Source organism: Homo sapiens, chromosome 16, assembly GCF_000001405.40.
Source record: "Homo sapiens chromosome 16, GRCh38.p14 Primary Assembly".
NCBI classification, from domain to species: domain Eukaryota; kingdom Metazoa; phylum Chordata; class Mammalia; order Primates; family Hominidae; genus Homo; species Homo sapiens.
This window is the reverse complement of record NC_000016.10, coordinates 10,551,417-10,574,998: the sequence shown is the minus strand read 5'-3', so window position 1 is coordinate 10,574,998 and position 23,582 is coordinate 10,551,417. Positions and strand designations below refer to the sequence as shown.

Here is a 23,582-nt window from a genome sequence, read left to right as displayed (position 1 = left end):
CGGGAGGATTGCTTGAGCCCAGGGCTTCGAGGCTGCCACTTCAAGTCTGCTGCCACTTTGAGGATGCAGTGAGCTATGATTGTTCCACGTACTCCAGCCTGGGAGACAGAGTGAAACCCATCTCTTAAATTAAGAGAAATACATATATGGGCCGGGCACGGTGGCTCACGCCTATAATCCCAGCACTTTGGGAGGCTGAGGTGGGTGGATGGTGAGGTCAGGAGATCGAGACCATCCTGGCTAACATGGTGAAACCCTGTCTCTACTAAAAATACAAAAAATTAGCCGGCATGGTGGCACACACCTGTAGTCCCAGCTACTTGGGAGGCTGAGGCAGGAGAATGGTGTGAACCCAGAGCTTGCAGTGAGCCGAGATTGTGCCATTGCACTGCAGCCTGGGTGACAGAGCGAGACTCCATCTCAAAAAAAAAAATGTATAATTTTTAAAAAGAAAAGGCAGAGATTGCGAGCAGGGACCCTGCTGGAGGAGCAGTGGGTGCATGGTTTGTCTTCAGTGCTGAGTGTATGAAGGGAGGGAGATGGAGCAGGGAGGGATGAGGGGGGGCCACAGTGTGAAGTGGGCTTCCCTTCCACATCCCCAAGAACCTGGCTAAGGAGGCAGGCGTGAGGATGCTCACGGAGCATTATTGGAATAGAATATCCAATGATAGGTGAGAAATAGAGAAAAGGAAAAGTGGAAGCAACCTAAATATCCATCAGCCATTTTGCAGAGTATTTTACTGCAGTTAAAAAGAACAAGGGGCCGGGCGCAGTAGCTCACGCCTCTAATCCCAGCACTTTGGGAGGCCAAGGCAGGCAGATCACTTGAGTTCAGGAGTTCAAGATCAGCCTGGCCAATATAGTGAAACCCCATCTCTACCAAAAATACAAAAATTAGTTGGGCTTGGTGGTGTGCACCTGTAATCCCAGCTACTTGGGAGGCTGAGGCACAAGAATCGCTTGAACCCAGGAGATGGGGGTGGCAGTGAGCCGAGATCATGCCACTGCACTCCAGCCTGGGTGACAGAGCAAGACTCTGTCTCAAAAAAAAAAAAAAAAAAAAAAAAAGGTTTATCCATTGTACCCATATGGAAAGAGCTTTATGGCATTACTGAGTTTAAAAAAAGAACAACCAGGAGAAGTATATGTGGAAAAGTGTATTATTCATATAAACATAAACAGAAATTCTTGTTGTATTTTCTGTGGCCTCACATGTTTATACGAGGAACAATGTCTGGAAGGAGACATCGGAGTAGGTCCATGTGGTTGTCTCTGATGGGGTGGTAGGGAAGGAACTGGATTGAAAGGATACAATCTTATCTCAAGCCTTATCTGTAACCAAGAGAGTATCTTCAGGAATTACTGACTTCAATAATAATGCCCTCATTTTCCCTGAGCTTGGTAAGCAATGGAGGTTGTGCAGGTGTGAGGATGGGGAGAGATGATGCCTTTGGCTGTGGGGGGTCAGAGACTCCATGGATGGACCAGTTAGGGACTGTTTTGAAAATCCAGAGACAAGGAAATGATGACCAGTGTGAGCAGGTGTCATCCAGTCCACATGGAGCATCCCCCTTGGAACATCACATTGCAGATGCCAATGAACATAATGTGTTTCCAGTCTGGATGCTGTTCATGGGGGTTAACCGTGGCCAGGTGTGGTGGCTCAGGCCTGTAATTTTAGAATTTTGGGAGGGTTAGGCAGGAGGATTGCTTGAGCACAGGAGTTTTGAGACCAGCCTGGGCAACATAATGAGACCCTGTCTCTACAAAAAAATAGCAAAATTAGCCAGGCATGGTGACACACACCTGTAGCCCCAGCTGCTCTGAAGGCTGAGGTGGGAGGATCGCTTGAGTCCAGGAGTTTGAGGCTGCAGTGAGCTGAGATTGTGCCACTGCACCCTAGCCTGGGTGACAGAGCAAGACCCCATCTCTTAAAATAAAAACAAAAAAAGCCAAAATAAACCCATGCTGACCACTCCCTTTCACTGTGAAGTGAGGGTTCTGTTTCTCTCATAGAACTGATGGAGGAGATGCTTTGGGGTCCCAGTTGTCTTATAGTGGACATTTGTCTTTGGAATGGGGATGGGAGCTTCTCTAACTCATCACAGTTTTCCAGCCTTGAGGTCCTCATCCGTCCCAGAATGAGTGCTTAGTAACTGTGGCATGAATAACATGGTGTCTGCTGAGGGGTGACAGGTGCATTCTGAAGACAGTAGGCAGATGCCAGTGGGATCAGAGAATTGGATTGCGGGGTGCTACAGGTGGGCTGTGTACAGACATGTGGAGGGTCGAGGAGGTGCTATTTGGAAACTAACTCCCAGGCTGTGACATTTATTCTGGAGATAATCCTTAATACCTGAACTTGGGAGTTCTGTGACAGGTCATCTATCCTGATTTATTCCTCACGTGTTCATTCTAATATTTATTGGCCGCTTACTATGTGCCGGGTAGTGAACAAAGATGGACTCGGCCCCTGTAATGGAATTTATCTAGCAGTGGATGGAAGATCATCTGTGGGAGGGTCAAGAGAAACCTAAATCTTTTTTTTTTTTGAGACAGGATCTCGCTGGGTCACCCAGGCTGGAGTGTAGTGGTGCAGTCACAGCTCACGGCAGCCGCGAACACCTGGGCTCAAGTGATCCTCTGTCCTCAGCCTCCTGAGTAGCTGGGACCACAGGTGCACCCAGCTAATTTTTAAATTTTTTGTAGAGACTGGGGTCTTGCTTTGTCACCCAGGCAGCTCTCGAATTCCTGGCCTCAAGTGATCCTCCCTCCTCAGCCTCCCAAAGTGCTGGGATTACAGGCATGAACCACTGTGCCCAGCTGCAACCTAAATCTTTTAAGGGTCTTTGCCCTTGTCTGTCTAGGGTACAGAAGAAAAATGAAAAATTCCCTCTTTCTCCTGCTCCCTCATTGACTTTTTTGAATATATTTAGATCATCAGGTGATATGATGTTTTGAGTAAAATGTGGCCAGGGAGCCTTGAGTCCTCTCTCTTATTAATGTGGAAAGTGCCTTGAAATTCAGATGGATGGTCATGAGCCCTAAAGCCCAGGGCCTAGAGCCCAGGAGAGGCTGACAGCAGTGGACCAGGCTGGTGTTTGAGCCAACAGTGGTGGCCTCTCAGTATACACCACTACCGCCCATCACTGGCTTACAGTGGAAGCCTGGAGCAGTCCTCTGTCTCTTCATGCAAACCTTCAGTCCTTCTGGAATCCATCCCCTCTCTTCATCTCAGTGGCTTCTATCTTGGTCCAGACCGCTGCCATCTTTTGCCTTGACAATTGCACAAGCTCCATGACCTGTATCCCTGCAGCCACTATGGCCTTGCAGTCCGTTTCCCATACGTATCCAGAAGGATCTGATAGAGACACAAAGCTGACCAAGTCACTCTTCCCCTGCCCCACTTAAAATTCTTCAGTAGTTTCAACTGCTCCTAAGCAAAAACCAGGCCTTACATGATCTGACTCAGAGGTCCTTGGCTGACTGACCTTCCGAATCTCCTGGGGAATCTGGATAGAATGCTGATTTCCTGTCCCCACCTGAAAGTAATGATATCAGAATCTCTGGAGGCAGGGGCCAGGGCACAGGGGTTTAAGGTGCCCCCAGTGTGGTTGGTGGTGAGACGTACTGGTCTAACCCCTTCTCTGGACTCATCACTCTCCCCTGTTGCTTTCTCCTCTAGCCCACTCTTTTTTCTTAGTTCCTGCAACTCTTTTTTTTTTTTTTTTTTTTTTTTTTTTGAGACGGAGTCTTGCTCTGTCACCAGGCTGGAGTGCAGTGGCGCGATCTCAGCTCACTGCAGCCGCCGACTCCCTGGTTCAAGCGATTCTCCTGCCTAAGCCTCCAAAGTAGCTGGGACTACAGGTGCACACCACCACGCCCAGCTAATTTTTGTATTTTTAGTAGAGGCAGGGTTTCACCGTGTTGGCCAGGCTGGTTTCTATCTCTTGACCTCATGATCCACCCGCCTCAGCCTCCCAAAGTGCTGGGATTACAGGCATGAGCCACCGGCCCCTGCCAGTTCCTGCAACTCTTAATCCTCTCTCACCACTGCTTCTACCTGCTCTTTCCCTCGCCCTTCTTCTTCTTCCACATTGCCTTCCTCTTTCTGTCCAGCTAATTCTTTATCCTTTAAGACCTTTAAGACTCATACCAGGCCAGGCATGGTGGCTCATGCCTATAATCCCAGCACTTTGGAAGGCCGAGGCAGGAGGATCGCTTCAGGCCAGGAGTTTGAGACCAGCCTGGGCAACATAGTGAGACCCCATCTCTACAAAAAAATAAAATAAAAATTAGCCAGCCAGATGTGGTAGCTCATGCCTGTAATCCCAGCACTTTGGGAGGCCGAGGTGGGTGGATCACTTGAAGTTAGGAGTTCGAGACCAGCCTGGCCAATGTAAAGAAACCCTGTTTCTACTAAAAATACAAAAATTAGCCAGGTGTGGTGGCACATGCCTGTAGTCCCAGCTACTTGGGAGGCTGAGGCAGGAGAATTGCTTGAATTCAAGAGGCAGACGTGACGGTGAGTTGAGATCACGCCACTGCATTCAAGCTCTGGGTGACGGGGCAAGACTCTGTCTCAAAAAATAAAATAAAATAAACATTAGCTGGGTGTGGTGGTGTGCACCTGTCGTCCTAGGTACTCCAGAGGCTAAGGTGGGAGGATTGCTTGAGGCTAGGAATTCAAGGCTACAGTGAGCTGTGATTGCACCACTGCACTCCAGCCTGGGTGACAGAGTGAGACTCTGTCTTTAAAAAAAAAAAAAAAAAAGCCACCATTTTTTCAGGGACACTTTCTAGCCCTAAGTTAAGTCAGGTTTTCTCCTCTGCCATTAGTTCTGATGGTATTTGTTTAAGCCCAGCAAGAGCTGGCAGGCACAGGGACCATCGCTTCCTATCTGATAGTTCACCAGGGCACCCCGGTAACCATCGCGATGTATCCCCAGTGTCTCAGCAGACCCAGGGGAGGAGTGGGAGAAGGGAGGCTTGGGTGAGCATTGAAGGGGAGGCTGCAAGGGCAGGGGGTTTGGAAGCCCTGAGAAGTCACTAGGGTCAGGGCGGCTGCTCCCTCTCCCTCCTGCAGTTGGCTCTGTCTGGAGCCACATCAGGCCCGAGTGGCATGATCAGCATCCGTTTATACCAGTGTGACATGGGGTCACATTCTTCCCAGACCAGAGCCTGAGAGAGGCTTAATCATCGACACACCCAGAGTGGGGTCTGCATGCACGCAGGCATTTGGAAATGACTCCTGTAGCATACAGGCGATGTTAAAGACTGTATTATGCTCGTGTTCATTTCAGTGTATTACTTAAATGTCCCTTGGCAAGTGATGCTGATTTTCCATTTACAGCGTAATGCATGTTTAAAAATGAATCGGGCTGGGTGTGGTGGCTCATGCCTGTAAACTCAGCACTTTGGGAGGTTGAGGTGAGAGGATCACTTGAGCCCAGGAGTTCAAGACTAGTTCAAGGAACATAGGGAGACCCCCATCTGTACAAAAAATAAAAAAATTACCCAGGTATGGTGGCATGCACCTGTAGGAGGCTGAGGCAAAAGGATCACCTGAGCCCAGGAGGTCAAGGCTGCAGCAAGCTGTGATCATGCCACTGCATTCCAGCCTGGGCAGCAGAGCGAGACCCTGTTTTAAAAACAAAAAACAAAACAGAATAAATATTTTAAAAATGAATCAATTTAAGCTTAATGTGTTTTAAGGAAAACTGTTGAATAGTGAGTAGAACAGGTGGTGCACCCACAGAAATGATCACAGTGGTGTGATTGACACTGAGGGCCTACCCAGGTCCCATTTGCTGGATCATGTACTCATCACCTCCAGCTGTCATGAGTGCAGGCTTCGAATGAATTTCTTCTTGGTTTCACCCAAGAGTATACCTTAGAAAATTCCTAGCACAGCTGGGCGCGGTGGCTCACGCCTGTAATCCCAACCCTTTGGGAGGCCAAGGTGGGTGGATCACCTGAGGTCAGGAGTTCTAGACCAGCCTGGCCAACATGGCGAAACCCCATCTCTACTAAAAATACAAAAAATTAGCCTGGCGTGGTGGCAGGCGCATGTAATCCCAGCTACTCAGGAGGCTGAGGCAGAAGAATTGCTTGAACCCGGGAGGCAGAGGTTGCAGTGAGCCGACATTGCGCCACTGTACTCCAGCTTGGGTGACACGAGTGAAATTCCATCTCAAAAAAAAAAAAAAAAAAAAAAAGAAAATCCTAGCACAAGAATCCACACCCCTCCCTTTGCTTCTAGGTAACTGGACCTAAGGCAGTGATGCTCAGGGAATGCAGCTTTAATCCGACCGTCCTCTTGGTCTCTGTCGGAGGAACTGTGGGCCCAGTGAGCAGGTGCCACTTGCCCCAGGTTACCCTGTGACACCCTGGCAGGGCCAGTTGGAGGAAACAAAAGATAAAGATGTACCAACGACTTTTCTTCAATCACTGGTGTGTTAGTGGGACAGGATTTGCCACTCTAGCAGCAGGGTCTTGGTGTTGGGAAAATAAGTCTGTTCTTTTTCCCAGGAGGCATCGTGAAAAAAGCATTTAGTTCTCTCTCTGGAACCAAGCAATCTGAGAGGCACCTGTGAATACACATGTAAATATATAATAATACATAAATATATACATATATAAAATACATATATTGGTGTATATGCTATACTTGACCTCAATTCACCAGGAACGTGAGGCAGCTGGTGCTTTGAATGTTTTCATTTAAGGACCAAGGGAAGTGGTTTGCAAACCTTGCTGTTTATTGGAATCACTGGGCATCTTTTAGCACCTATTGGTGGGGGCTGTCCCCAGAGGTTCTGATTTAATTGGTTTAGAGTAAAGCCCCAATGGTGTGCCCTTCTACTTCCTGCAGCCTGATTTTTCTGCAGCCCTGGTATTGCTGTAAATTGATCATGGCTAAGCCTTTGCTGTGTTTTCTGTGTCTGTCTTCCTTTATTCTATAGCTCTGGGCTTCCTGAGGCAAGACGGTGGTGAAGGGTATGAGTGTTCCACTCCCAGCTCTGCCACTTACTGGGGGTGTGACCTTTGACAAGCTACCTAACCTCGCTACCCCTCCGTTTTCTCATCTATAAAATGGGGATTGCAGTGAACCCAAGCAGACAATATTCTGGTGGAGACTATCTCCAATGCCTCAATTCTTCCATTTCCCCCTTGCTTTAGTGGTATTTCATGCTGCTCACAGCGGGAGTCCATGTACAACCCTGGGAGGATGTGAATCAAGGAGAGCTTTGGTTTGCTGTATGAGGGTGTTACGGCCCTGGCAGTCCTCTTTGGGGAAACCCGAGTCTCTCCACTTTGCCTTTTCCTCAGGGGGTCTTAGGGCTCCTAGAGAACCAGTGTCCCATCCTGCTAAAGCCCCACCTTGGACTTGACCCTCCACACCTGGCCTTACCTTGAGCTTCCTGGCCCTCCCTGGGCTGTGGAACGAATGCCTGGCTCACCCACCTTGGTGTGTTCCAGAGCCTGGTCTAAGCCCCTGCTCCCCCTGCCCCAAGCATCCTCATTGTGTTTTTACCACAGTTTGCAAGCAGATCATGAGCCATGGAATTATTCATGCTCCCTGCCCTCAGAGGAGTCAGAGAGCTGGAGGCCATGGGGCTGCCAAGGGGAAGAGAATGCTATATTGTCATCTCAAGGCTTGAGGCTTCTTGGCGAGACCTGGAGTGGGGAGGAAAACACTCTTGAAAACAGCATCCCTCACTCCACTGATAATGACTTAATATCTGCTGTGGACCAGGCACTGTGCTGGGCACGGGGACAGAGCAGTGATGAGACCGACATAAATCCCTGCCCGCTGGGAGCTTCCATTCCAGACAGCAAGACAGAAAAAAGAAGTGCACAGCGATACATAAGAAAATGGCAGATAATGTTTAGTGCTTCAAGAGCTGAAGGCAGGCAGATCACGTAGACTAGAAAAGTTGGGGAGGCTTCTCTGCTGACTTAGGAGTTGGGGCTGAATGAAGAGAAGAAGTCAATTACACCAAGATCTAAGAACATTCCAGAAAGAGGGATACGCACATGCAAAGGTCCACTACTCTGAGGGGTGGGAGGTGAGCTTGGTTTGTTGGGGACAAAGAAGGGGCACTGGTTTGAGGCATGAAACCAACCTGACAGTTTTTTTTTAGCTCTCTGTGAGGGCCGCCACCTTGTGGTCCATGTCTTTCTGTCCTCCCACAGTGCCTGCAAAGAGCCTCGCATGCTCTGTGTACTCAGCGAACACACTGATGGACAGGTAGTCACCTGTGAAAATGGTGACACACACGCCCCACCTCTTGGGGCATTCAGAGAAGTGGAGAACTGACTTCGTGGTTGGAGACCACTGAAGACAGAACTGGAATCAGTGGAAGAGAGATCCCTGTTTAATGCTGTTTTCTGCACAGTGGGATTCATGATGCTGGGGTGATTTTAGATAGCTCTGTCATCACATGACATTAAATCACTGGTGGGAAAGCGATTCCCTTTTCAGTTCTCTTTCAGTTCTTCTGATTTCATCAAGGGGGGAGTCTTAGCTGAGGCTAAGGTGTTTAGTGCCTCTTTAACTCTAGTTTCCCCTCTTTAACTTAGAGCAGGTCTGCAGCTTAGTTCCTATGGCAGGCAACAGCCTTGAACCAGAATTTGTGAACTTTAGGGGCAGGGGGTATTTGTTTTCACAATTAATTTCTATTTATGGCAAATGATGCTGATTTTCCATTCCCAGGGATCCAAAAGATTTCTTTTTAAAATACATTTATTTATGTTAGAAAGTGGGTTAAGGACAATTATGAAGGAAAATCTTTCAGCTGTACTCGAGAAGGTGGTAGACAAATGACTGAAGTTTGGGAACCCTTGTTCTGAAGCTTAGGGTCCGGTAATCAGATGTGGTCTTGGCAATGGTGAGGTCCCCAGTCCCGGGGCATGTTCAGATGGAAACTGGATGCTAGAAAAATAATCCAGGCAGAGGCTGGGGGTGGTGTGTTCTCATGGTCACACCAGCGCCTTTCAGCTGAGACTGCATGAGTGCGTGATTCTCTTTGTGTTGAGTCAGTTTCCCAGTTGCACAGCCGCACAATGTCATTGAGCAGATGCAATATCATCAGAAGCACTCCAGTGGGACAGGCAAGGGGTTGGGAGATTGTCTTTCTTTCCAGCATGGCCACCTCATAGCCCCCTAGGCATGCTAGTAGGGAAATGTTACTGTGGGATTCCAAGTGCATCGGAATGGGTTCCCATGGTGCTGGCTCAGCATCTGCCCTAGTGCTAAATTTTTCATGGTGATACCACTTCCTGTTGGATCCCTCCCCACCTCAAGTCCCTGGTTAAGGGGCTCAACCTTCCAGCTCTCAGGTTGGTGAGTCCATATGGGCTGGGTACCCTGAGAGAGTGATGCTATATTAGGGTTCTGCAGAGAAACCAAAGGGGTGCATATATATTTAGAGAGAGAGTTTGTTTTAGGGAATTTGCTCATGGGATTATGGAGGCTGGCAAGTTCAAAATCTGCAGGGCGGGCCAGCAGGCTTGGAGACCCATGGATGAGCTGATGATGTAGTTCAAGTCTGAAGGTCATTTGCTGGCAGAATTCCTTCTTGTTCCGAGGAAGTCAGCCTTTTGTTCTACCAGGCCTTCAACTGATTGGATGAGGCATAGCCCGTTAGGGAGGGCAATCTGCTTGACTCAGAGTCCACTGATTCAAATGTGAATCTCATCCCAAAGCACCTTCACAGAAACATTGTGACCCAGACAAGTTGACGCATTAAGTGAACTATCTGAGATGCTTTCGTTGGACCAGACACATAGCATTAAGTAACATAGAATCCTTTTCAAATCACTCCCTTTTAAATTCTCTTTCACCTCTTCAAAGAGGAAATCTCAGTTTTGTGCGAATATGACTTTAAAACTTCCCAAACATGAGTGACATCCTGTTTTAGCAAAGAAATAGAAACCCAGTCTTGGACTTGGAGCTTTTGAGCAGCAAGAGCTTGGAGCTGGAATTTAATAACAATGTTTTGTTTTCATTGTGTTTATTTTTTCCAGCACCTTCTATTTATGGCAGGTGATGCTGACTTTCCATCTCATTTGCGATATAAGGTTGCCTTTTATAAAAATATAAGTTTAAAAAGTGAGTAAGCTAAACAGGAATGGCAGATTTGGGGAAATGTCGACATAAGCGTTGCTGGGACAGTGCCTGAAATGTCTCCTACTTGTCCACATGCCCCGAGCTGCCTGTTTGCATTTCCTTCCCTCCTGGAGGCTGCCCTGGTGGTTTATTTCCATTTGGTGGCTTCCTTTCTGAGAATGGTGGTGGTGGATGGGAGGAGAGAACACTGGCTTTCTGGGGAAGAAAAAGGCCTGGGGGTATCTATTCTATGACAGATTCCTTGACTACGATGCTGGTGATGATTGATAATGAGGTAGGAGGTGGGACTGGGAGGTAGGGCCCACATATCAGACCACCAAACTAGCTAAAATAGGGACAGGGCAGAATTACCTTTTTTTTTTTTTTTTTTTTTGAGACAGAGTCTCACTCTGTCGCTGAGGCTGGAGTGCAGTGGCGCAATCTCAGCTCACTGCAACCTCCACCTCCCAGGTTCAAGCAATTCTCCTGCCTCAGCCTCCCAAGTAGCTGGGATTACAGGTGCCTGCCACCACACCCAGCTAATTTTTATATTTTTAGCAGAGACAGGGTTTCACCATGTTGGCCAGGCTGGTCTTGAACTTCTGACCTCAGGTGATCCACCCACCTCGACCTACCAAAATGTTGGGATTACAGGCGTGAGCCACTGTGCCTGGCCAGAATTACCTTTCCATAAGACATGTCCACACAGAAGTGACTGCACCTTTCCATGGCAACTGCCTGATGCCTCACTTTTCCTAGAAATTTATGCATAACCCACTCCCTAATTTGCATATACTTAAAAGTGGTGAACTACCTCCAGGCATACTGCCTATGGGGTAGCCCTGCTCCCCAAGGAGCAGTCCCTCTGCTGCTGTTGTACATTGCCACTTCAAGAAAAGTTGCTAACACCACTGGTTCACCCTTGAATTCTTTCCTGGGTGAAGCCAAGAACCCTCCTGGGTGAAGCCCCAATTTGGGGGCTCGCCTGCCCTGTGTCAGTAACACTTCATAGCATTTGCTACATGCCAGATGCTGTTCTAACTACTTTCACTTCATTATCTCCCAACAGTCCAAGGGGTAGGGATACCAATGTCATCCCCACTTTAGAGTGGAGAAATAGGGACACTGAGTGGTTGCTAGTCTACAGTCCAGTCAGTCTGGCTCAAGTCTGTGCTCTTACCTCATTTCACTCAAATTACTTCCTGCTCATCTTCTACCCTGTGACCCCTTCCTATGTTAACTTCCACGTTAACCAGGTGGGGTCCTGGTTTCCTAGTCTTGAGACTCCTTGGGCCTGGCTGAGTTGTCGACAGTGATGTACAGTCTTTAACTCGCCAGCAAAGATCCATCTATAAAAATGATAGGTCTTGTCACTTATGAAAGAGGAAAAAGTAGCTGGGTGCAGTGGATCATGCCTATAATCCCAGCACTTTGGGAGACCAAGGCAGGTGGATCATTTGAGGTCAGGAGTTTGAGAACAGCCTGGCCAACATGGTGAAACCCCATCTCTACTGAAAATACAAAAATTAGCTGGATGTGGTGGTGCATGCCTGTAGTTCCAGCTACTTGGGAGACTGAGGCAGGAGAATCACTTGAATGCAGGAGACAGAGGTTGCAGTGAGCTGAGATCGTGCCACTGCACTCCAGCCTGGGTGACAGAGTGAGACTCCATCTCAAAATAATAATAATAATAATAATAAAGAGGAAATGCTGTTAAACCAAGAGTGACTGATGGGCCTGGGGATTACTTGAAAGTCACCAAGACAAGGTGCTCTGTGAAGGAAAGAATATTCCTAAACTAATGGGTGTGAGGCTGGGGAACACCCTGCATTTGACACCTGCCTCACCCCGAGCAACGTAATCCACATCAACCTCACTCTCATGCTGACATGCTGTGTGCCTGTAGGTATATCATTAACCCTCTCTGGGCTGCAGTGTGGTTTTACTGGGTAGCATAATTATAGGAGCTCCTTGGATGACAGCAGCCAGCAGTGAGCTCTTTAATTGACAGGGTCAGGCAGCAGTCATTGGCAGGATGGCAGTTATTAGCTGCTCTGTGAAAGCTGCACAAACTAGCAAACATTTAACAAGTATTTGCTGAGCAACCTTGGGCACTGGGGAAGGTCAGTGAGTCATAGTTTCTGTACTTGAGGAACTCTAAATCTAATACAGCAGTATCTCCACTGTATCAGTTAGCTCTTGCTGGGTAACAAACCACCCCAGAATGTAATGGCTTAAAATAGAAAACACTGATTTTGTTCATGATTCTATAGATGGGGAATTTGGGCTGAGCTCAGCTGGGTGGTTTTTCTGATTTCAGCTGGGCTCATTCATGTGTCTGTGGTCAGCTAGTGGGTCAGCTGGGGGCTGGCTGGTCTAGGGTGTCCTTCACTGGTAAACCTTGTCTGTCTTCCAAGTGGCATCTTATCTTCCAGCAAGCCAGCCTGGGCTTGTTCACACAGTTACTGGGCAGAGAGATAGAGATAGAGAGAGAGAGATAGATAGAGAGAGAGAGAGAGAGAGAGAGAGAGAGAGAGAGAGAGAGAGAACATGCATGAGGCTTCTTGAGGCTTTGGCCCAGAATTGGCACAATGTCACACTTCTGCCACCTTTTATTGATAAAAAAATCACAAGGCCAGCTGGGCATCAGCAGGTGGAGAAATAGATTGGATTGTACCTCTTGATGGGAGGATTTGATCTGCTAAAATTTTGTTTAATTTTTTTTTCACTCATGCACATGTGGGATATTGGTCTGTCTTTCCTTTCTTGTGTAATGTCTTTGTCTGGTTTTGGAATCAAGGCAATGCTGGCCTCACAGAATGAGGTGGGGTGTCCCCTTCTCTTCAATTTCCTGGAACAGTTTGTTTAGAATTGGTATTATTCTTCCTTAAGTGTTTGGCAGAATTCACCCATGAAGCCATCTGGGCCTGGAGTTTCCTCCATGAGAAGAGACTCCAGGCCCTGGATAAACCCTTTTTTTTCTCCTTTTATTGCCAGATTTTAAATAAAAGTCTAGCTTCATTTTTCACTTGTTATTAGCCCTTTAGCTCCTTGAAATCTGGCTTCTTTAGTCATTCATTCAACACATATTCACTGAGCACCATCTATAAGGAAGACGTGTTCTAAGTGCTGTGAATACTGTCCTGCAAAAACATGCCAGGCACCTGACACTGTAGCAGGCAGATATGTAATATCCAAGTAAACAACTACAAGGCAACATCAGGCCCTGAGAGATGCTGCAGGAAGAAAAATGAAGGGCTTTAGTTCACTTCCCTAAAACTGTGGTTGCCAATTCGGCCAATGAGCTAATTCTCCCTCCTTGTCCCATTTTTCTAGTCTTTTCTCTCCTGGCTTCTGGGTCCCATCATGTGCTCTTGGTTGCCCTCCCACCTCTGTGCCCACTCCTCCGTCTCCTTCCCTGGCCTTCTCTCTTCCATCCTTTCTTCTCCCTTAATGCTTTCTCCCTGAGCAGGATTTCTCATCTACCAGTGGCTTTGTCTGCCACCTGTGTACCCATGACACCAGGATTCCTGGTTCTAGCCCGTTTTCTCCTGAGTGACAGTCCTGACTATATTTCCAACTACCTGAATGCATTTCTACCATGTCACCAATTTCTAAAACCAAATGAACTGTTTCCCTCATCCTTCAAACATGCTACTTCTGCTTCCTGTCCCAGTGCAGATCACGGCACTAGAATCATGTGCCCTCTTCCCCAGCCCATCATCAAGTCCTGTTGCTTCTGCTTCTGGAAGCTCTCTTGGCTCCCTCCCTTCTGTCCACCCCTCTGTTCCCAACTCATTTGAGACCCTCATCATTTCTCAACAGGGCTGCTCCAATAGCTTCCCCACGTTTGCCTCCTGCTACTCCATCCTTCTGACTGTGGAATGGTTTTCTTCTAGAAGCAGATCATGCCTTTTCTGCTTACAAAGCTTCCCCAGCCCCCTTGGCCTCCAGGATAACATTTGCTCTCCTTTGTGTGGTCTCCAAGGCCCTTAAGCTTCTTGGTCAGTGGAGAGTCCTGGTCCATCTTGGGGCCCAGCCCGGAACGTGCTCTCCTAAGTGTGCCACTCTGCACTGTGGGGCGTCCCGAACTCCTTGCCTGTGACACCCTCTCCCCACCACTCCGCCCATCCTTAGAGACCCAGCTCAGGTGTCGCTTCTTCCATGAAGCTTCTGATGCTGCTCCCACCCCAACACAGGGCCAATCACACCACAAGTGTCTCCCATCACGTCATATCCGTCCGTTTACACACCCTTGCCCTTTAGGGACCCGGCAGCCCCAGGGCACACAGAGCATGCCTTACTCATGCCCAGTACATAGCAGGTGCTCAATAAATGCTGGCTGAATAACTGCTTCATTTTTAAAGAACGGGCAAGGGGACAGTGATCGGAAGCCTGGGATTAGAGCCCTGGCTCTGCCACCTGCAAATTGGATGATGTGAACAAACTCCTTAACTTTGATTTCTCACCCACAAAGTGGATCACAGTCCTTGCCTGTCCTTCTGACAGGACTGTCCCCTCACTGACAGGTACTACCCTGCGTGCGGCGGTGGGAAGAGCTGTGAGCCTGGAGGACTCGGGGATGACCTGTGTTCTCTGCTTCCGTTGTCCCCAGTGTGCTTTGCAAAGCATGTTCCCAGGATGTGGGACCTGGAGGAATAACTTAGCAGTGGCCAGCATCTGAAGCTATGTGTGTGAGCCTAGGACTTTTGCTAGATCCCTGATCAGCTCTTAAAGTAACAGGACCCCAAAAGGGAAGGGAAATTCAGATTTAAGTGGGCTAGATAATGGTTTCTCTGGTGCCACGCTGCTTGGGTTCAGATGCCAGCTCCAGCTTTTACTAGCTGTGTGACATTGGGGAAGTTGTCTAACCTCTCTGGGCCTTATTTTCTTTACCTGTAAAACAAGGCTGCTGGGCACGGTGGCTCACGCCTGTAATCCCAGGACTTTGGGAGGCTGAGGCAGGCAGATCACATGAGGTCAGGAGTTCAAGACCAGCCTGGCCAACATGGTGACACTCCGTCTTTACTAAAAATACAAAAACTAGCCAGGCATGGTGGCAGGTGCCTGTAATCCCAGCTACTTGGGAGGTTGAGGCAGGAGAATTGCTTGAACCTGGAAGATGGAGGTTACAGTGAGCTGAGATCGCACCATGGCACTCTAGCCTGGGCAACACAGCGAGACTCTGTCTCAAAAAAATAAAAATAAAGCAAGGCTAATTTAAAAACCTTCATCAGAGTTGGTGAGTAATGAATAAATTAATCCAGGCAAAAGGGCTTGGAACAGTGCCTGGGACACACTAGACAACTAATGTTGGCTATCATTATTGTTGAAATTGTGGTTGTTATTATTCCAAGAGATTGGAAGACCCAGGGCTGCACAGACAGAATGATCCTCAGTGGCTTCTGCCCTGGGGCACTGCCAAATTCCAGTGTCCCGCCTGTTGCCATTTCCGGAGAGAGCCAAATGCTGACTTTGTGCCCAGAGCTCCAGCCACAGTGAGCATGGAGCTGGGCGGCCCAGGGTAAATGGGCTTCTTTCTTCCCCATGGCATCTCAGACGCCTGAATACTCCTGGCTGGCTGGTGTCCAGATACTAGGGCAGGAGGCTGGGCTGACCTCTGCCTTCCTGAAAACAGAGGCCAAAGCCACCGTCCCCTCGGAGTGCTCTGGGCAGTGGGAGGGGCCTGGGTTCTGGCCAGCCTGAGGTTGAACCACCAGCCCCGGAGCAGGCCTGGGAGTCCTTGCAGGGTGGCCTGGGTGACTGCTCACCAGCCCGGCCCTCCCCAGGGTTCTGGGCCAGAGCCTCCCTGGCCGTTGGAGCGGGAGCTGTGGGTGGAACACTTCTGAATTGGGAGATTGCCTCGGACCTCCAGACGCCGAACATCTCAGGTCTGTATTGAAAGGTTCCACACCTCGGGATTGTCCTCTTGCCTACAGTTCCGGGAAAAGGCTCCAACTCAGACTGGGAATCGGCTGTGGTTTAAATAGTAGGAAGAACTCCCGAGGGCGGGAATGGAGTTGGGCGGACGGAGCGGTCATCTTAACAGCACGTTCTCTCTCCGCGGGAAGCCAGCTGGGCTCTCTGACTCTTGTTCCCTGGCACGTAAAGGAGCATGTGCCAAAGTGACTTCCTTTGGCAACAGCAAGCAGGGGATGGGGCTCACGGGTGGAGATTCGTGGTTATTATGAAGAAGAGGACAGCAGTGGACCCTTACTCTGTCCGTGGGCAGATCCCACAGACTTTTATTTATCCACGAGAACCTCATGGTGACTTTCCACGAGCAACAGCAAACCAAATGTTGCTTCTGGAAGAGGGAGGGCCAGTGAGCCTCCAGAAGGTTGTTTGTGTTTCTCCACACCCAGAGCTAGACGTGCGACACACACACACACACACACACACACACTTTAAGCAAACATTGGACTAAGGCATAGCTGGACGGCACCTCTACTTAGGAAACAGCGAGGAGATGTCAATTCTCTTTGTTATCTGGGGTCAGGATGGACATTTCTGGGAGCACTATCCTTCTTCCTGTCAAACTGTAGAACTTGAAACTCCAGCTGGGCACCCTGGCTCATGCCTGTGATCCCAGCACTTTGGGAGGCCAAGGTGGGAGGATGGCTTGAGGCCAGGAGTTTGAGACCAGCCTGGGCAACACAGCAAGACTCCATTTCTTCAAAAAATAAAATTAGACGGGCATGGTGGTGCACAGCTGTAGTCCCAGCTACTGGGGAGGCTGAGGCAGGAGGATCGCTTGAGCCCAAAAGTTCGAGGTTGCCGTGAGCAATGTTTGAGCCACTGCACTCCAGCCTGGGCAACAGAGAGAGATCCTGTTTAAAAAAAAAAAAAAAAACTTGAAACTCACTGAGCCACAAATGTTCCACTTTGTGTGCAGAATTTCCATAACGCCACCCACAGTTCCCAGTGTCTCACCCCTTTCTCCTCCCTCTTGTTCCTCCTCCACAGCCCCACTCTCTCCAGTTCTGATGCCCGGAGGTTTCTTGTTGCTGCTTGAAAAACCCATTTGCTGTTCTTCTACCCTGGTTATGGGTTCTTTTTCCTTTAAAAAGAAACTTATGTCTGAAGTTGTAATTTCCTGTGTTCTATATTATTTTATGTGATTATTTTTATGGGTATTTCACAGAATGGGGAGTATTCAGGCCTTGAATCTGAAGACAGCTCACCATGGTATCTACAATGCATCAAATCAAGGTTGGGGCATCCAGGCCATTTAGTGTACACAGTGAGATCCACCTCACTGAGTTTCTGGATACTCAGAAAAAGTGATTCATTTAGAAGTTAATTTTGAAAAGAGAATTGAACCCATTCTACCACATGTGCTTAGTTCCTTTTAGATACCAAGGAAAAACTTTATCCATAATCCAAACCAGTCTCAAAGTTAGATCAAAAAAGACAGCAAGCGCTTCAGCTTGGCCAGTGAGCTAACAGGATGAAAAATGCAGCCAACCCTATGCAGCCTAAAGCATGGGGTTTTTTTGTTTGTTTTCTGGGTTTTTTTTTTTTTTTTGAGATGGAGTCTCACTCTGTCACCCAGGCTGGAGTGCAGTGGTGGGATCTCGGCTCAATGCAACCTCCACCTACCGGGTTCAGGCGATTCTCATGCCTCAGCCTCCCAAGTAGCTGGGACGATAGGCATCTGCCACCGTGCCTGGATAATATTTGTATTTTTAGTAGAGACAGCGTTTTGCCATGTTGGCCAGGCTAGTCTCGAACTCCTGGCCTCAAGCGATCTGCCCGCCTCAGCCTCCCAAAGTGCTGGGATTATAGCCATGAGCCACTGCACCCAGCCTAAAGCACGATTCTTTTTTAGGCCCTCTCTTAATTAGCCCAGTCATCCCTCAACCTTAGCGAATGGGCCAGTGCAGAGAGAGGTTGCCTTCACAGATTCCCCCTGCCTGGTACAAAGCTCAGTGGACACAAAGATGATTTGATACTGCCTTGTGCCCTCTCTGCTGATCTTAATTAGGTTGCTGCATGGTTTTCACCAGGCCCTAAGCATGTGAGAGGAAAGAGAGTCGTATAAAAATGCCCTGTATTTGGAACTGGAAAACTAGTGAGTTCCAGTCCTGTGAATTTTGGCAAATCACCCAGAACCATTAGGACCCTTGGTTTCTCATCTGTAAAATGGGGATAAAGATACCTTGCTCTGCCAGCATCATAAGATTGACATGAAAATCCTGTGCAGCATGTGCTGTGTAAGCTGAAGCTTGACCTTTAGTCATGAGGAGTCTCGTTTTCATGTGGCATGACCCCTGTGGGCACCCCTTCCCCAGGGATCTGCCTTATTGCCTACTTATCTTGGGGTTATGTTGAACCCCTCTGTCCTGCCCACAGTTAGAAGTGAATTTGCTGTCTTCCCTGAAAAGTGCCACACATGGATTGCTTGTCCTACTTGTCCTGTGACAGCAGCAGTTGCTGAGGCTGCACCTGGCAGGCAGCAGGGAAAGGCAGAGTCAGGAGAGAGACTGGCTGGAGAATGTGCACTGCAAAGAATCAGGCCAACCGCAGGCTTGTAACCAAAACCATACATTTGTTGCGTTTGGGGTTCTGCAACAGAAGACTTGAAATGATTTTAAAAAAAATTGGAAGGAACTGAAGCAATATGGAAAATAGATGGAACCACAGACAAGAAGGAAGGAAAGATGGAGGGAAGAAAAGAAGGAAGGAAACTGGAAATGCTAGGGGAAAAGGAGTTTTTCAAGGAAAAGTGCAATCATAGTACACTATTTGGCTCTGTAGAGTACAATATTTATATAGCAATCATGTAAATGACAATTATTGATCTAAATGTAGACTGTATTGAGATGATGGAAGGAAGGAGATGGGGTGCAAATGATGGTGAAAAAGAGACACTTTTCCCTAAGCAGGAAGTTAATAATTAAGTTAACCAAGAAATAGAAGTGCATGAGTATTGTTTGGAAATATGGAGAAGGGAAGAAGAGTAGAAACAGCTGAAAAGATTAAAAGTGATTGCTTTGGCGAGGTGTCATGGCTCATGCCTATAATCCCAGCACTTTGGGAGGCCGAGGCAGGCAGATCACCCGAGATTGGGAGTTCAAGACCAGCCTGACTAACATGGAGAAACCCCATCTCTACTAAAAATACAGAATTAGCCAGGCGTGGTGGCGCATGCCTGTAATCCCAGCTACTTGGGAGGCTGAGGCATGAGAATTGCCTGGACTCAGGAGGCAGAGGTTGTGGTGAGCCGAGATCGCTCCATTGTACTCCAGCCTGGGAAAAAAAACAAAACTCCATCTCAAAAAAAAAGAAAAAAAAAGTGACTGCTTCCAGGTTGTAGGACAGGGGTATGACAGAAGACTGTTTTACACCATATACCTTTTGGTTCTGTTATCTTCTTTTAAAAATCATCATTTTATGTAGATCAAAACATTTTTAAAAGAGAAGTTCTGCAAATCATAGGACTTTGATTTCTATACAGAAACTTGAACACTTCATCTAGTGCAGTCTCCTACCTTCAGGTGGGTAAGCGCCCAAACTCAGGTGGCCTTTTAGAATGTTCTGCTTGGCCCCTAAAGAAATTGAAGAAGGAAAAAAGCAGTTTGCATTCCACAGCGAAAGTTATGCTTCAAAGTGGCAGAGGCTTTTGGGGAACATCACTGACTCCTGAAAGATTGTCGTGGGCATTCTGAGGAGTATCCCACTGAGATAGGGTGATTGGAGGAGTAGCCAGGAGACCCTGGTCTAGTCCTGACCTTGTTCCTGCTTTGCTGTGAGATGGAGCAAGTCTTGGCCCTCCTTCGTTTCTGTTAATACCTCTGGACAATAGGGCTTTGAGTTTTCCAAGGGCCTTTACAGCTCTACATTTCTAGAACTGGACAATGATAGCAAATAGCTGTCAGAGGGGGAGAGACAATAAACAACTGAACGAATAAGATGCTTTCAGACCATGCAATCCTCCAAAGAAAATAAACTAGGGGGATGGGCTAGATTATGCTGGAGGGGGCGTGGTTACTTTACACGGTATGCTCAGGGGTGCTTTTCTGGGGAGATGATGTTTGAATTAAGACCTAGACAATGCCAGAGAGCCAGCTGAGGGTGAAACGGAGAGACCGCTCCAGGGAACCGTGTTCAGGGGAACCGAGACAAGACTAGTTCCCCTAAAGCAGCAGAGCACTGAAGCCTGCAGGCACAAGGGCAGGCATAGGGGTTGGGGTGTGGTGGGGGAAGGAGATGGATCTGTATTTACTGTTACATTTTTCGAAGGGAAAATAACTTTTTGTGAATGGCAAGGATTAATTCTGATGCCACCCTGGGCTTGGTGGACCAGTCTTCATCCAACACACAGCCCCGGGAACTGTTTGTTTGTTCTTTCGTATCATCAGAGAGGGCAGGATGCAACATGGGTGTATGTAGTGGCAAGGAGACAGCACCACTTGGAAAAGCCCTGGGGAAGCTGGTCTCTAGGGACCAGAATTATATTTCTTGGGGGCAACTTATGTCAGGAGCCAAAGACATAACATCAAGGCTTCTCCACCCACTCACATAAATGCTTAAGAGTTGATCCAGTGCTTGGTCGGGCACGGTGGCTCACGCCTGTAATCCTAGCACTCTGGGAGGCCAAGGCTGGTGGATCACCTGAGGTTAGGAGGTCGAGACCAGCCTGGCCAACATAGTGAAACCCTGTCTTTACTAAAAATACAAAAATTAGCTGGGCATGGTGGCCCATGCCTGTAATCCCAGCTACTCAGGAGGCTGAGGCAGGAGAATCGCTTGAACTCGGGAGGTGGAGGTTGCAGTGAGCCGATATCACGTCACTGCACTCCAGCCTGGGTGACAGAGCGAGACTCCGTCTCAAAAAAAAAAAAAAGAAAGAAAGAAAAAAAAGGTTTTGATACTGTCTGAAGACCCTCTGAAGATCAGGGCTGACACAGTATGAACAGTGTCCAGTATACATGGCAGTAAGTTAAATTGTTTAAATCACAAAAATAAATGCACATACTCTTTGCTTCAACGCCTTCACTATTAGGAATCTATCTTTAAATATATCAATGCAATGTGTGCAAAGAAATAAGTGGAAGGTTGCTCGTTGGCAGTGCCGTATGGAGCCGCAGAAAGTCCGGAAGCGACCTAAATGGCTACCAATAGGGAACCAGTTAAGTAAATTGTGGTGTAGCCGCACAACAAAACACCAGGCAGCCCAAGGAATGAGGTGGATTCGTAGGCACAGGGAAAGAATGTTCTCTGAGGGATATTATTAGAAAAGCTAGGTTGGAGGATGCGGCTTAGACTTGTGGCCAAAGGAGCTTGCTGGAGCTCCCAGCTCCACACTCTTGTCCCCTACTAGCCTTCGGCCCCTCCAGCCAAAGAAAGTTGACTGGGGCTCGGTGGGAGCAGCCATGCCCAGGAGAAGGTGCCGGGAAGGGCAAAGCACTGCACCGGGGCCTGAATAAATGCACTCCACCAATCCAGAAAGCGGACAGTGGCGTTTCCTCCAATCAGGTGTGAAGAGATGAGTGAGGGGCGGGACGAGGCAGAGAGTGTTACTCTGGTACGGCTACCGCCACACGGAAACGTGGAGTGAAGAATAAGTGTTCTCGCAATCAATATCTCTGGAAGGAGGCACAGGAAACTGAGAAGCGTGGTTGCCTCTAAGAGGGCAGTGGCTGACTGGCGTCGGGAATAGTGGCGCAGAAGGGAGACTTATTTTGGTATAGAGATGCAGGAGTAAAGGGTTATTTTTATTCCCTCTTAAACATTCGGGGGATTTCCGCTACTTGTGAATAACTTCCTCCAAAGCCTCGGGTGAAGTCACCAGCAATGTCCTGGGTTCACAAGTCCTAAAATTGAGCTACCGCATTTTGGTTTTTACTGGAGATCTGAATTCCAGATGTCATAGGAGACCTTTACTTCTCTGTTGTTTTTCGGAGTGCCTAATGGTTGAAACCAACCTCTAACTGCCATTTCCTTTACATGTACTAGAAACCTTACTTGACTTCTCTTGAAAACGTATCCCTTTCTCTGTAGAAGCTTGTTCCTGATGTCTGAAATGTCCATCTGAAACCATTCCCAGAGCTTAAAGCAGTACTTCCCAGACATCAGCATTTGACAACCACCCTGAGGATTTCTACTGACACTGAGGACCACCTGTCCTTTTACTTACATAACATTTTCCCTAAATTGTTCACTTTTAAAGCTTCAATAACTTGGTTTTAAAATACTTTATATCACTGCTATACGTGGTGTTTCTTCCTTATAAAAAGAAAGAACGTTAAAAATAAATACAATAAACTCAGAATGATGCTATTAAATTCTAGCTACAAATACATTTTAACCAAAGATCTGTTTTCTCTTTTTGTCAAAAAGAAATTAGCAAGTATTGGAGACTGACTAGCACCAAACTGGGTCTTTTCCTTGGTGAACTCAGTAGGATTGGAATGGGAACTTTTTCACCATGTGGTTCAATGTTGCTTAATGCCCTATCAATGCACTGTCCAAAATCATGCCTTATAACATTTTAATTCCATCCTTTGGGAAAGAATGGGTTAAAACCTTTTTTCTTTTTAATTATTATTTTCTAGAAAGTTTTAGTTACATGTCCATATGCATTTGTGTCATCCCAGCTGGACAACATATGAAGCTATTATCACCCTGGAGTTAATGGCCCTGGTGAAGTTGGCATTTGGGCATTCCTGCTGATGTTAAAGTAACAGGGCATTCAGCGTGGTACATGAGCCCTTTTTCCCCCCAGGGTCAGAAATGCATCTATTAAAAAAAAAAAAAAAAGGGAATGCATCATTTTGGAGGCAGCAGCATATGGTGGCAGCTAAGAATGACGCAGGCCTAAACAAAGGGGAATTTGTCTTTTTTGAAAGAATTAGAAGAATCTCCAAGCTGGTTCATTGGGTCCTTCTAATTGGTGATGCACAGAATCACAGCCAGGACCTCTCAGACTGAGTTCTGCAGCCATACAGCTCCTGGCTCATTGTTAGTGTGTCCTGGGTCTCAAGGAGTGGACCCTGTATGAGCCCATGAGCCTTGATCCATTCCGTGGGGGGATAATGGGGATGAGAATGAGCATGGTTGGAGAGGAGAGCTGGCAGTGAAAAGGTGGAGGGTTTGTGCAGTCAGTGCATGTCCACTAGAGGAGGGGGAATAGTTGGTACCAGAAAAAGGCCTTTTAAAATGATCCTATTTTGCTCTGGGGATGGTGGCTCACGTCTGTAATCCCAGCACTTCGGGAGACCAAGGCAGGCAGATCACATGAGGTCAAGGGTTTGAGACCAGCCTGGCAAACACAGTGAAACTCTGTCTCTACTAAAAATGCAAAAATTAGCCAGGCGTAGTAGCACGTGCCTGTAGTCCCAGCTACTGGGGAGGCTGAGGCAGGAGAATCGCTTGAACCCGGGAGGCAGAGGTTGCAGTGAGCCGAGATTGTGCCACTGCACTCCAGCCTGGGCAACGGAGCAAGACTCTGTCTCAAAAACAA

At 47.8% G+C, this 23,582-nt stretch overlaps 1 protein-coding gene across 1 annotated transcript in view, besides 2 other annotated features; it reads left to right on the top strand.

Moving 5' to 3' along the window:
* The window catches only part of EMP2 (epithelial membrane protein 2), a 52,177-nt gene that overhangs the window by 5,600 nt on the left and 22,995 nt on the right, over positions 1 to 23,582 (top strand). The gene's annotated exons all lie outside the window — the stretch shown is intronic.
* Positions 10,575 to 10,771: a silencer, noted in NCBI's record as "fragment chr16:10658085-10658281 (GRCh37/hg19 assembly coordinates)". NCBI's record gives its function as "represses an EF-1alpha promoter that drives an FKBP-Casp9 reporter gene in an ReSE screen in K562 erythroleukemia cells {active_cell/tissue: K562}" and the evidence as "EXISTENCE:reporter gene assay evidence [ECO:0000049][PMID:32094911]".
* Positions 21,630 to 21,879: an enhancer, noted in NCBI's record as "active region_10382". NCBI's record gives its function as "activates an Ori minimal core promoter by ATAC-STARR-seq in GM12878 lymphoblastoid cells {active_cell/tissue: GM12878}" and the evidence as "EXISTENCE:reporter gene assay evidence [ECO:0000049][PMID:35858748]".